Below are 14,585 nucleotides of genomic sequence, written 5' to 3' on the forward strand. Positions count from 1 at the left end.
TGGGAGGAGCCAGAAGGCTGCTGGTGATAAAGAATACAAACTATGGCAGCAACTGGTCAAGGACACCCAAGTCCTGCATGGCTGCTGGTGGCAGCATCTGGGGAGAGAGGCTGAGCACAAGGTGGTCCCCTAAACTGATGGGCACAGGGCAGCGAGGGGATGGAGAAGGGGGAATGATGGGGATGCAAGAAGTCAGCCCAGCTGCTGAGAGCATCTCTGTCCTCTCTGTACCTCTCTTGCAGAAGGAAGGCCCCCTCGCCGGCCTTCATTCTGTTCCTTGCATGCCCCAAGCTTCCTCCCGCTGTGGGGTCTTTGTCCTGTGGTTCCTTCTGCCTTGAACACTGTCCTCTGAGATCATTGCTGGCTCCTTCACATCATGTGAGTCTCTGCTCAAATGTCATCCTCTCAGATCAGTGAATCCAAAGTCATCTCCCAGCCAGTCACTTCCTAGAACATCCCCTTTCCACTTCCTTTGTAGCCCTCAGCACTATCTGCAGGGACCTCCCTCATTTTCTGTGTGACTTTGGGCAGTTTCTTAACCTCTCTGTGTCACATTTTTCTTATCTGTAAAATGGTCATACTAGTACCCATCTCATGAGATTGTAATACTGATTAAGTGAGATGATGTATGTAAAGTGCTCAGAACACTGCCTGGTATGGAGTAAGCAGTATAGAAGTGTTAACAATTATTATTATTATTATTATTATTATTATTGTGTTTGATCCATTGTCCTCCACCCCCAACTAGAACATCATCTTAATGAGGACACATACTTTGTCTGTCTTGTATTCTAATGCCTGGTACAGGGCTTGGTTCATTGTAGGTGCCCAAGAAATATTTTTTGAGTGAATGAATGAATGAATGAATTTCTAAAAGAAACTAAGCCACAGTTTTAATGAAACCAGGCAATGGGTATTAAAAGCATTGGGGTTTGGGTAGGCTCTTGGATACATACATGGAGGTAGGCACAGTGAAGGCAGGAAGCTGAGGCACCTCCAGATGCCTGTCCCCGGGGCTGGGCCCTTCTTTCAGGTAAGGGGGCAGGAGGAGGAAGGGGCTTTCAGGAACATGGCGGGAGGTGCAATGCAGATTTGGAGGGGGTTCTGATGGGGCTGCATAGTTCCCCCCTGTTCTAGGAGCATTTGCTGTCTCAGGCATGCAGTGGATCTATGATCTGGAAGGGACTCCAGAAGGAGAGAAGTGAACTCAGGAACCTGTTTATCCTCTGCCCACCTGCCATCTTGCAGAAGAGGAGGCTGAAGTCCAGCCCCAGGATTAACACAGCATCCTGGCAGCAGGGCTGGCTCAGTCCTTCCCTGGCCCCACATCTCTGGTGTGCCTGGTCTTCATACAGCATTGGTACCTTCCCAGAATTGAGCTCCTCCCTTTTCACCCTGGTCGTGGGTAGTTTAGGGGTCTATTTGGAAGATGAGACCTGAGGCTCTGTACAGGAAGCCCCGTGGTCCCTGAAAGGCCAAACCTTGGACTCCCGGAAGATCTTCTCAAGTGCTGGAATCCATCTGCTGACATCTGTCCTCCGGGCCTTCACTGTGACCAGACTCCAGGAGACAGCAATGGGGCAGGGCCTGGAGTGGGAGGGGCCTGTGCCAGCCCAGGTCACAGGCCGTAACGGTGATGACCCCTCTGCTCCAAGTGACAATAGCAGCAACAGTAACAACATAACAGCACTGATTTAAAAATTCATAATACTGGGCCAGGCATAGTGGCTCACACCCATAATCCCAGCATTTTGGGAGGCTGAAGCAGGAGGATCACTTGAGCCCAGAAGATCAAGGCCAGCCTGGGCAACATAGTGAGACCCCTTTTCTAAAAAATTTTAAAAATTAGCCAGGTGTGGTGCTGTGCACCTGTAGTCTTAGCTACTCATGAGGCTGGGGTGGGAGGATTGCTGGAGCCCAGGCGGTCGAGGCTGTAGTGAGCACTGTTTGTGCCACTGCATTCCAGCCTGGGCAACAAAATAAGATCCTGTCTCAAAAAAAAAAAAAAAAAAGATATTTACTGAGCACTTACACTGTGCCTGGCACTGTCCTCAGGGCTTTAAAATATTACTCATTTATTTCTCACAAAACGTATGACATGTATGTTAGATAAGAGAATCGTGGCAAAGTCAAAGTCCCTGAATTGGATAATTACATGGGGGTGATGTTGTGATTAGGAAATGCACCCTAAGAACTTCATGGTGAGATGGTACAAGGCTACAACTTGCGAATGGCTCAACAAAATGAAGTAGATAGGTATGCAGATAGATGAATTCATATGGAGACATATGTGTCAACATATTAGCAATTGGGGAATACAGATAAGAATATACAAGTGTTCATGGATCTTGCAACTTTTTTATAGGTTTTAAAAATTTTTTAATAAAAAGGAAAACCAAAAATGTAAGGGCAACACTAATATTGTCCCCATTTTACAGATGGGGGAACTGAGGCACAGAGAAGTTAGCGCCCGTAGTAGATGCTTTAGAAATATCAGCTGTTTTATTATTTACATATGATGAGGCCAAGGCTCAGAGACACTCTGTAACCTGTCCACCATCGCACAGCAAGAAAGTGGGTGTTTGCCTTTGAAGGGTCCTATCTCTCTGACCTGCTAAGGTTACGTGGACCCCAGGCTGGCTTGGCTGGGGTAGGGGCGAGTGAGTGGACTCTCCCCATGCCTTCAGATCAGGCCCCTAGTGTCCTCCCAGCCTTCTCGGGCCCCTTAAGACAGGGCGAATCTTTGTGGAGCTCCCTTTCCTCCCTCTCTCCTTGCCCCTGCAGGAACCTCTCCTGGGAACCCTTACAGCTCTCCCTGATCTCCCCCATCCTCTGTGCACCAGCAGCCCCATCAGAGGGGCCTGGCAGGGTGGGGATATTTGCCAGCAAATACAAGCTATGTGTTAAACACTCCGCCAGCAGCTTCTCCACACCCGGCAATGTTTGCTCAGCAAACATCACTAATTTTCTGGTTTCTTGGGCTGTGCTGGAGCCCCTAGAGCAAAGCCTGTTTTTCATCAGCTCCTCTGACAGTTCCCTGTCCCCATGGCCACCAACCAGGCTCCGGGGCACAGAGTTGAGACCTCCTCCCAACACAAAGTCCCAAGAAGATCTGTGGGGAGAGAGAAGGCTTCTCTGGTTTTCTGGGACAGCATCTTTAACCAGAATTCCTCTAGTGCTGGGATTCTGGGATGTAGGAGAGGGGCTTCAATTATTTCTTGACTTTGAGTGTGTTTGGGGAGTTCTTTTCCTCTCTTCTGGTCTCTCTCCCATCCATCCTCCAAGATTCAGGAAGCCAGTTTATTCCAGTTCATATTCATCCGTCCATCCATCCACCCATCCATCCATCCAACCATACATACATACATTCAGGTTTTTTTTGAGCACCCATTTTGTGTCAGGGAGGGCTGGGTGCTGGAGAAACAGCAGTGCATATGACCAACCTGACCAGCATGATTTCTTGCCCTCCTGAAGCTGACATAATACAGCGGTTAGAGGCCAGACGCAGCGGCTCATGCCTATAATCCCAGCACTTTGGGAGGCTGAGGTAGGTGGATCACCTGAGGTCAGGAGTTCAAGACTAGCTTGCCAACATGACAGAGGGAAACCCCTTCTCTACTAAAAATACAAAAATTTGCTGGGAGTGGTGGTGGGTGCCTGTAATACCAGCTACTTAGGAGGCTGAGGCAGGAGAATTGCTTGAACCCAGGAGGCAGAGGTTGCAGTGAGCCGAGATCGTGCCACTGAATTCCAGCCGCGACAGAGTGAGACTCTTTCTCGACAACAACAACAAAAAAGCAGTGAGCAAATAAATCAACAAGGCCATTCGAGAAGGTGAAGAAAACAAAACAGGGTGATGAAGGGGGTGCTGCTAGCTTGCAAGGGTGGTGAAGAAAGACCTCCTGGAAGACGGGTTATGTGAGCTCAGCCAGTACAATTGACTTTTTTTCCCTCTCAGGCTCTGTATGGCTCAGCCTGGCACTGTTACAGGCCCTGTCTTTATTTAAAATGTGGATATCTTGTTCATCATAGATTTTTAAAGTGTAAATAACATAAAATCCATTCTGACCATTTCAAGGCGAACAATTCAGTGGCATCTAGTGCATTCGCAATGTTGTGCAACCATCACCGCTATCTCACTGCAGACCATTTTCATCACCCAAAAAGGAACCCCTTATCCATTCAGCAGTCACTCCCCAGTCCTCCTTCCCTCTCCCCTGACAATTGCTAATCTGCCTCTGTCTCTGCAGATTTGTCTATTGTGCAGTCATACAAATGCAATCTGTGGTCTCTTTGCGTCTGGCTTCTGAGCGTAATGTCTTCGAAGTTCATCCATGTGGTAGCACTTGTCAGTGCTTCCTTCCTTTTTATGGCTGAGTCATTTTCTTTTGCATGGATAGGGACCATATTTTGTTTATCTGTTTACCTGTTGCTGGACACATGGGTCATCATAATTTTTTTTTTTGTTTTTCATTTTGACTTTTAAAAATATCACATCAAAATTGCATTGGTCTACGGAAGAGGGTTTCAGAGAGAAGGAAACCTGCGTAAGGGCCTTGAAGGGGGATTATGAGCTTGAAATCAGACATTCTGGGGGAGGGAGCTCCAGGCAGAGGGAACAGCCAGGGAAACCCCTGAGGCAGGAATATGCTCTGGGCAGTGGAGGAGCAGTGAGAAGCCCAGATTGGCTGGAGAGGAGTGAGCAGAAGGAGAGGGTGTAAGACTAGGCAGGGGTGGAGGGATACAGGTGAGGGTGACAGGTGGCTGGACCAGGTAAAGCCCTACAGGCCAGGGAAGGGAGTGTGGATTCCATTCTGAGTGTGATGGAAGCCACTGGTTGGTTTTGAGTTGGTGAAATTATGCAATCTAGTTTCAGTTTGCAAAGCTCTCTGGCTGCTCCACGTATGTGTGGACAAACAGGAGGCAGGCAGGCTTGTTGAGGGGCTGTCCCTGGCATAGAGGTGAGACACCATGGGGGGCGGGCCTGCACCAGGGTGGTGGTGATGGCAATGGACTTGGAGAGAGCTGTCAGCTGCCACATAGATTTTGAATGCATAGAGAGATGATCCATTCATCTATTCAGTTGGCAAGCAATTACTGGACACTAACTATATGCCAGGCAGTGTGAGATACTAGGAATACAGGCAAACAAAACCAGACAAGGACTCAGTCTTCATGGAGCTCACAGTCATTAAACAAATAATTACAGATATGCTCAGCTGTGAAGGCCAAGGTGCAGGCATTTTGGCGCTATTGATCTATGGCTATTTCCAGAAATGGAATCCATCGTTCAGAGGAAGTCCCGCTGTGTCATTGGGAGATGTGCCAAAGAAAATTCTGCTTCTCTCTGATGATGCCATCAACCAAGTAGTCATTCCCAATGTCCTGCAACATGGCAGCACCCTTGGGATAAACACTTTGAAGGGGGAAACAACTGCTTTGGATGGTTGAGTTCTGAGCGGTGTTAAAAAAAGAACCAGGGACTGGGCGTGGTGGCACATGCCTGTATTCCTAGCACTTTGGGAAGCCTGGGTAACATGGTGAAACCCTGTCTCTACAAAAAATACAAAAATTAGCTGGGTATGGTGGCGTGCACCTGTAGTCCCAGCTACTAAGGAGGCTGAGGTGGCAGGATCGCTTGAGCCCAAGAAGTTGAGGCTGCAGTGAGCTGTGTTTGTGCCACTGCACTCTAGCCTGAGTGACAGAGTGAGACCGTCTCAACAAAACAAAACAAAACAAAACAAAACAACCAAAAAACAAAACACACACAAAAAAACAAAAACAGGGACTCTCCGCCCATCAGCTCCTCTCCCTCTCTGGTCTGTAGAGGAAAACTGGAGGCCTGCAGGGAAGCTGGAAGAGGCCCATTAGTTCCCACCAAGCCCCCTTCCTTCAGCTCTCTTCGGCCGCGGCCGGCTCCTCTGCAACCAATGATGAGTCATGGCAGGGGGCTGATTTGGAAGAAACGAGGCCAGGAGACCCTTCAGCTCTTGCAAAGGAGACACCCCATTAATCTTTAACAAATATGAAGTTCCACGAGGCCGGGCCCTCAACTAATGAGGCCTGGTTTCCCAGGGACTCCCCCGGGGAAGAGGAATTAACCACCAGAGGTACTCGCGAGCAGGGAGTGGGTCTTCTGAATGAGGGCAGGTTTTTCCCTAGACTGACTCATCAGGGGCCACCCTGACAGTTCCCCATAGACTCAGGCCATATGTACCACTATTCCCTGAATATGCCTCTTTATAGACACTTGCTTTTAAAAACGACCTTACGGAGGTGTAATTGACACAGAATAAATCGTGCTTATTTAACGTGTACAGCTGAGTAAGTTTTGATGTATTATACAACCATGAAGCCATCATCACAATCAACGCAACAAACATATCCATCACCTGCAAAAGTTTCTTCTTTGTAATTCCTCCCTCTCATTCCTCTCTTCCATCCCCAGGCAGCCACTGGTCTGCTTTCTGTCACTACAGATGAGTGTGTGCATTTTCTAAGGTTTTATATAAAAGGAATCATACTCTTTTTTTTTTTGGTCTGTCTATAAGTGAAAGAAACTCAGCATAATGCTTTGGAGAATCATCAATGTTCATCATTGTTCATCCCATCAATAGTTCATTTCTTTTTATTCATTTTAAATTTATTTTAAAATTTTATTATTATTACTTAGAGATGGTCTTACTCTGTTGCCCAAGCTGAAGTACGTGGTGCAATCATAGCTCACTGTAGCCTCCAATTCCTGGGCTCAAGCAATCCTCCTGTCTCAGCCTCCTGAATCGCTGGGACTACAGGTGCACACCATCATGCCCAGCTAATTTTAAAAAAAAATTTGTGTAGAGATGGGGGTCTCACTATGTTGCCCAGGCTGATCTCGAACTCCTGGCCTCAAGTGATCCTGCTGCCTCTGCCTTCCAAAGTGCTGGGATTATGGGCATAAGTCACCATGTCCGGCCCATTCCTTTTTATGGAGCAGTAGTATTCTGCTGTATGGATATACCACCAGTTTGTTTATTGATTTCTCTGTGTCCATCAGGACATTTGTACATCCATTCTCTTTTTCAAAAAATAAATTTATAATTTTAGGATAGTTTTAGACTTAGAAAGATTGTGAAGAAAGTATAGAGACTTCCTATATAACCCCACTCAGTTTCCCTTGTTATTAACATCTTAAATGGTTCATTTGTTACAACTAATGAAACAATGTTGAAACATTGTCATCATTAACTAAAGTCCGTACTTCACTGAGATTGCCCCAGTTTTTACCCAATGTTCTTTTTCTGTCCCAGGATCTATCCAGGATCCCACATTACATTTAGTTCTCAAGTCTCCTGAGGCTCCTCTTGGCTGTGACAGTTTCTCAGGCTTTCCTTATTTTTGATGGCCTTGACAGTTTTGAAAAGTACTGCTCAGGTATCTGGTAGAATGTCCCTCAATTAGGGTTTGTCTGATGTTTTTCTAATGACTAGACCAGGGCTATGGGCTTCAAGGAGGAAGACCACAGAGCTGGACCGCCATTCTCATGACATCATATCAAGGGTATGTCCACTATCATCGTGATGTGCCATTGTTGGCACTAACCTTGATCACCTGCCTGAGGTTGTGTTTGTCAGGTTTCTCCACTGTAAAGTTACTCTTTTGCCACTGTTTCCATACAGTATTCTTTGAAAAGAAGTCACTATGTGCAGGCTACTCTAAAGAAGCGGGGAGTTGGCTGGGCATAGTGGCTAGAATCTGTAATCCCAGCACTTTGGGAGGCTGAGGCAAGATAATCTTTCGAGCTCAGAAGTTTAAGACCAGCCTGGACAATATAGTGCGACCCCATGTCTAAAAAAAATTTTTTTTTAAATCAACTGGGCATGGTGGTATGCGCCTGTAGTTCCAGCTCCTCTGGAGGCTGAGGCAGGAGGATCTCTTGAGCCTGGGAGGTTGAGGCTTCCATGAGCTATGATCACGCCACTGAACTCTAGCCCAGGCAACAGAGCAAGACCCTGTGTCAGAAAAAAAACAAAACAAAAAGAAGCAAGGAGTTATGCTTCACTTCCTTGAGGGCTGAATATCCACATAAATTGTTTGGAATTTTTTTTTTTGCATGGAGATTTGCCTATTCTCACCCATTAACTTATTATTCAATCAGTTATTTGTTTATATCAGTATGAAAGCATGGATATTTATTTTATACTTTGAGTTATAATCCAATTCTACTCTATTAATTTTGTTGCTCAAATTGTTTCAGGTTTGGCCATTGGAAGCTCTTTCAGTTGGATACTGTATCCCTTTGACATGTTCTCATTATTCTCTCTCTGTGTGTGTGTGTGTGTGTGTGTGTGTGTGTGTGTCTGTGTGTCTGTGTGTGTCTGTGTTTGAGCACTTTATTACTTTCTGGTATGACAAGATGCTCAAAGCTCATTTTTTATATTTCCTTCCCCAACCCCAGAACGATCCATTTCTCCAAGGAATCCTGGTTCCTTTTATTGGAATAGTACTAAACCAAGATCTGGGCACTAAAGTGTGCTCATTGCTTCTGGGGTGTTGTGTCAAGGCCCTGTTGGCTGACAGAGCAACGAAATGTAGGCATGCATACATCTCTCTCTCTCTCTTTTTTTTTTTTTTTGAGACAGGGTCTTACTCTGTGGCTGAGGCTAGAGTGTAGTGGTGTGATCGTAGCTCATTGCAACCTCAACCTTCTGGGCTTAAATGATCCTCCCACCTCAGACTCCTGAGTAGCTGGGACTACAGGCATGCACCACCAGGTGTATAATAATACACCTGGCTAATTTTTTTAATTTTTTTTTAGAGATGGGGTCTTATCATGTTTCCCAGAATGGTCTTGAACTCCCAGACTCAAGTGATCCTCCTGCTTTGGCCTCCCAAAGTGCTGGGATTACAGGCGTGAGCCACTGTGCCTGGAATCTCTCTCTATTTTTATATGCATCTATCAGTATCTATATTAAGCTGAACATGAGTTCACACTGATGTCACCAATGCTAATGTATAATACTTGGATCATTTAGCCTCCTCTCTTTGCTTATCTGAAACTTTTCACTCCAACAATGAGAATTCTGGCTCCTACCATCTGCCTTCCATTTACTTAATTGTTTAATTCTGGTATACATGTATAGTGGTTTCAGAATTGTTAACCCATATGCTTGTGGGAAACAAGCTTATCAACTAGAGTACTGTGCTTGCATACAGTTCCTTTTGCCTTTAGTCTTTTTTTCCTTTTTTTTTTCAGATGGGGTCTCACTCTGTCACCCAGGCTACGGTACAGGCATGATCATGGCTCACTGCAGTCTTGACTTCCCCAGGCTCAAGTGATCCTCCCACCTCAGCCTCCTGAGTACAGCCTCCTGAGACTAAAGGTGAGCGTCACCCTGCCTGGCTAATTTTTCTATTTTTGTAGAGACAGGTGTCTCTACACTGGGCAACACTATGTTGCCCAGTCTGGTCTCAAATTTCTGGGCTCAAGTAATCCACCCATCTCAGCTTCCCAAAGTGCTGGGATTACAGGCCTGAGCCACCATGCCTGGCCCCATTTTGAGTTAATTTTTGTGAATTATATAAGGTCTGTGTCTTGCCTCTTCTTGTTATTATTGATTCATGTATTTATTTTTAGCATTTGGATGCTCAATTGTTCTAGCATTATTTGTTGAAACAAATGATCCCTTCTTCATTGAATTGCCTGTACCATTGTAGAAAATCAGTTGACTATGTTTGTGTACAATCCACTTTAAAATTAAAATTTACTTTCAGAAGAAACTTTACAGACTTACCAGCATCTCTTGCCATAAATATAAGGAGATTTTGAAAATAAAATAGAAATGGATATTATAGTTAAATACTCTGCTGTCTGCCATGATTTTGGGGCTGGGACTGGCAGCATCATTACTGAAGGGAGGTGAGTGTATGTGTTAGAGAGGTGTTCATGTGCATCTGCTCTCTGGTCCAACAATTCAACTCCTGGGTCGATATCCAAGAGAAATGAATGCTTATTTGCTTAAAACATGTACAAAAATATTTATAGTAGCCCAAATTCCACTAACAGGGGGATAAAACAGCAAATTGTTGATGGAATGCTATATAGTTATAATATAATATTATATATAAATAAGTATATATTATATATTATGGTATTATTGTATAATATAGTTATTACTGCATAATACATGATATGGTTTGACTGTGTCCCCACCCAAATCTCATCTTGAATTGTAGCTCCCTTAATTCCCATGTGTTGTGGGAGGGCCTGGTGAGAGGTAATTGAATCATGGGGGCAGTTCTCCCATACTGTTCTCGTGGTAGTGAATAAGTCTCACGAGATCTGATGGTTTCATAAGGGGAAACCCCTTTCACTTGGTTCTCATCCTCTTCTCTTGTTTGCCACCATGCAAGATGTGACTTTTACCTTCTGTGTCGTGATTGTGAGGCCTCCCCAGCCACATGAAACTGTGAGTCCATTAAACCTCTTTCTTTTGTAAATTGACTTTATCAGCAGTATGAAAACAGATTAATACAATATATATAATGTATATATTGCACTACAATATATATTATATTATATAGTATAACATATAGAATATAGTGTAATACCTATTATACTATAGTAAATATATAATAGTAATATAGTAATAATATATAGTAATAAAAATGAATAAACTACTGATGCATGTTGTATTAGGCTGTTCTTACATTGCTATAAAGAAATACCTGAGACTGGATAATTTACAAAGAAAAGAGGTTTAATTAGCTCATGGTTCTGCAGGTTGTACAGGAAGCACAGTGCTGGCATCTGCTTGGCTTCTAGGGAGGCCTCAGGAAGCTTACAGTCATGGCAGAAGGTGAGCAGTGAGCAGGCACGTCACATGGTGAAAGTAGGAGCAAGCGAGGGTGGGTCACTTTGAAATTACCAGATGTCACGATAACTCACTATCAGGAAGACAGCACCAAACCATGAGGGATCCACACCCATGATCCAAATACATTCCACCAGGCCCCAGCTCCAGCATGGGGGACTACAATTCATATTGAGATTTGGGAGGAGACAAATATCCAAACTATATCACATACAAAATGGATTAATCTCAAAAACATTACGCCAAGATAAAGAAGCCAGAAACAGGAGTTCACCCTGTATAATTCAATTTCAATGAAGGTTTAGAACCAAAAAACCAAGTCTACATTGATTGCCATTGGGACTGATCTGGCAAGGGAGAACTTGAGACAGTATTGTGGCAGGCTGCCGGGTGGAGGTGGGATAGAGAGTGATGTAATAATAACAAGGGGGAACATTTACCAAGTGTGAACTATGTGCCAGCCACTGTTTTTAAGACCTTGTGTGTATTAATTCATTTAATCTTCCCAGCAACTTCATGAGTGAGTACTGTCACTATCCCCATTTTACAGTGAAGGAAGCTGAGGTACTAGGAGGTCAGGCCACTTCCCCAAGGTCACACAGTGAAGTCAAGAAGTAGGATTCACACATGGCCTATCAAGTTCCTGTATTTTTCCACTCATTGTGCTGCTTCTCAAAGAAGCAAAAGGGAGACTGTTGGGGGTTAGTGGCAGAAGAAGATGGAGTTTTGGAGTCAACAAGCTCATTGGAGTCCTGAATGGGCCACTTGCTACCTGTGTGATCTTAGGCAAGTCTCTTAATTCAATTCCTCATGTGAACAATGGTGCTACCAGTCACTCCTACCATGTTGGATTTGGGGATGACACCCAGCACATAGCCACAGCCCAATGAATGGCAGTAAGAAAACAAATCATCTACATTTCTATAGCTATGCTGGGATTGCTTTTGGAGTCATAACTAGTGAGATTACTTCTCATTTTGTGGATGTGGAAACAGAGGCTCTGAGATGAGAGGGACTTTCCCAATTCCATCTGGCTGGAATTCACAGCTCCTGGCTCCTAGTGCAGCCTAGCACATCTCTGAGGGAAGTGGAGAAAGCAGTGAGCCAGGAGGGGCTGCAGAGAATTCTCCCATGTCACTAATGTACCCTCCAAGGTTTTCTAATAGGACAGCACATCAGAAAGAGTAGTCACAGAATGAGGTAGGAGAGATGATGTCAGATGAATAGGAGGGGAAATGGAGAGGTGTCTTTCATTCTTTGTTCACTTACTTATTCCTTCCTATTTATTAGGTGCCACTGCATACCAGGCATCAAGCCATGGACTGAGGAGGTAATAATCACTGCCATCATGGAGCTTATGGTTTCAAGAGGGAAGTTGCTCAAGCAATTATACAAGTAAATGAGAAATTCTAGCTGTGGCAAAGTGTCATAGAGGTGAGAAACATGATGCCATGAGCACCAACAACAGGAGGGTTTGACTTGGTTGAGGAGGTCAGGGATGGCTTCTTTGGGAAGGCAATACTTGAGCTAAAATCTGAAAGAAGAGTAAATATGTGGAGTAGTCATCAGGATTGTTCATAAATATTTGATTCCTTCTCTTTGTCCAGGGATATGCATGGTAGGGTTGCACTTTCCTGCCCCATTGAACCCAAGAGTGGTCATTGCTTCAACCAGTGAAATGTGAACAGAAGCAATGGCTCACTTCCAGGCAAAAGACCTCAGAGGCAGTACACATTTTGCAATATTCTATTTTTCCTCTATCATAGTTGCTAGCAATATTTCAGATAGTGCTTGCCCAGGGGCCTGGATCCCAGAGTGCAAATGAGAGTAAAAATGCAGGGCAGAATGCCCTGCTAAACCATGACAAACATGAAAAGTGTACAAGTAAAGGATGCAGTGATGAGTTTGCCATTCATTCAGCAAGTATTTGAAATGCCTACTGTGTCCCAGATACCAAGTCTAGCAGATTCATCCTAGATGGAGTGACCAAGGGGAGGGTGGTATCTGAGCTAGGCTTTGAAAAAGACATAGGATGTCGACTGCTTTAGAAGAAAGGGGTTGGGGAAGGCATTTCAGGCAGGATAAATATCACTTGCAAAAGTGTAGGTATATGAAAACTATCGGCTTGTTGGAGAGACAGCTGGAGGAGTAGAAACTGAAGACAGAAAAGCAGGTGGGGCAAAGCCTTGAATGCAGAGCTAAAGAACTGGGGGCCTTTCATCTGAGAGCCATAGGGAGTCACTGAAAAAGTTTGAGCTGAGGACAGTCATCATATAAGCTGTTCTTGAGGAACTGGCTAGGAAGCAATGCCCTGTGATGGCAAGGGTCAGAGAGTGCATATGGGAGCATTTCAGCTTGGAGAACTGTTTGGAAACTGATCCTTATAAATTGCTGGGGAGGAGAAAAGAGTCCTAGAGGGCTGTGATCATTGACTTAAAATGTTCAAAAAGCTCCAAGTGGGTGGGTGAGTGAGTGGGAATCATGGGTATTCTAAGAGAGCAAAAGTGGGTTCAAAGATAGTGATGGCTGGGAGGTATATTTGTTCCAGCAAACAGAACTTCCTGACAATGATAGCAACTATATTCATTTTCTTTTGCTGGCCTAACAAATTACCATAAATGTAGTGGCATAAAATGACACAAATAGATTTTCTCATAGTTCTGTAGGTCATAGTTCAGATGGCCTTTACTCGTCCTCTGCTTAGGGTTTCACAAGGCCAGAATCAAGGTATCATCAGTGCTACATTCCTTCCTGGAGGCTCTAGGGGGGAGTCCATTAATGTAGTTGGACAAATGCAGTTCCTTGCCATTGTAGGAGTGAGGTCCTCATTTCCCTGGTGGCTGTTCACTGAAGGATTGTATTTGCTCCTAGAGGTTGCCCACATTCCTTCCCATGCTTTCCATGTGCTCCCCTCATCCCCTCCACCACAAAAGCAGGTGGCATTTTTCTCATGCATCACTATGCTCAGGCAGGTGGAGACAAATTTGATTTCTTTTTTTGCCACATCTCCCTGACTCCAGCTAGAGAAACTTCTCTGCTCTTAATTTGTCATATAATTAGATTATACCTACCATTTGGGTAATCCAGAATAATCTCCCTTTCTTAAGGGTGAAACTTTAATTATATCTGCAAAATTCCTTTTGCCATGTATTTACACGTTCTGGAGAATAAGATGGGGGCATGATAGAATTTACTACAGCAACACAATAAGCTGACTCAAGTTGGTAGTGAGCTCGCATTTCTGGATGGCAATAAGCATTCATTCGTTCACCAAACATCCACTGGACACTTACCCTTTTTAATGTCATTCTCCTTAAATTCCATTGTGTATGTTATTAATATGGCTGTATATCAGCTTGTTTTTGTTAGTATTTGCCTTGTACCTCATTTTACCCTTTTAGTTGTAAGCTTTCTGTCATTTCTTTAAACAATATATAGCTAATTTTGTATTTTAACTGACTTGAGAATCTCAATCTTTTAATGGATAAATTTAGACCCTTTACATTTATTGTAAGTTATGTGGTTATAATTATTTCTGTCATTTTATTTCTTATTTTTTGATTACTATACTTTATTATACTGTGGTGTATGTGTGTGTGTTTCTGATTACTATACTTTTTATTTTCTCTTCCCCTTTTCCCTTCTCTGCTTTCTGTTGAATTGATTGAGATCATTGATTTCCTTTTACTGTTTTGGAAGTTATATATTGGATTTTTTTTTCCTTCTAGTGAT

The sequence above is a fragment of the Homo sapiens genome, chromosome 12 (genome assembly GCF_000001405.40).
Source record: "Homo sapiens chromosome 12, GRCh38.p14 Primary Assembly".
NCBI lineage: Eukaryota > Metazoa > Chordata > Mammalia > Primates > Hominidae > Homo > Homo sapiens.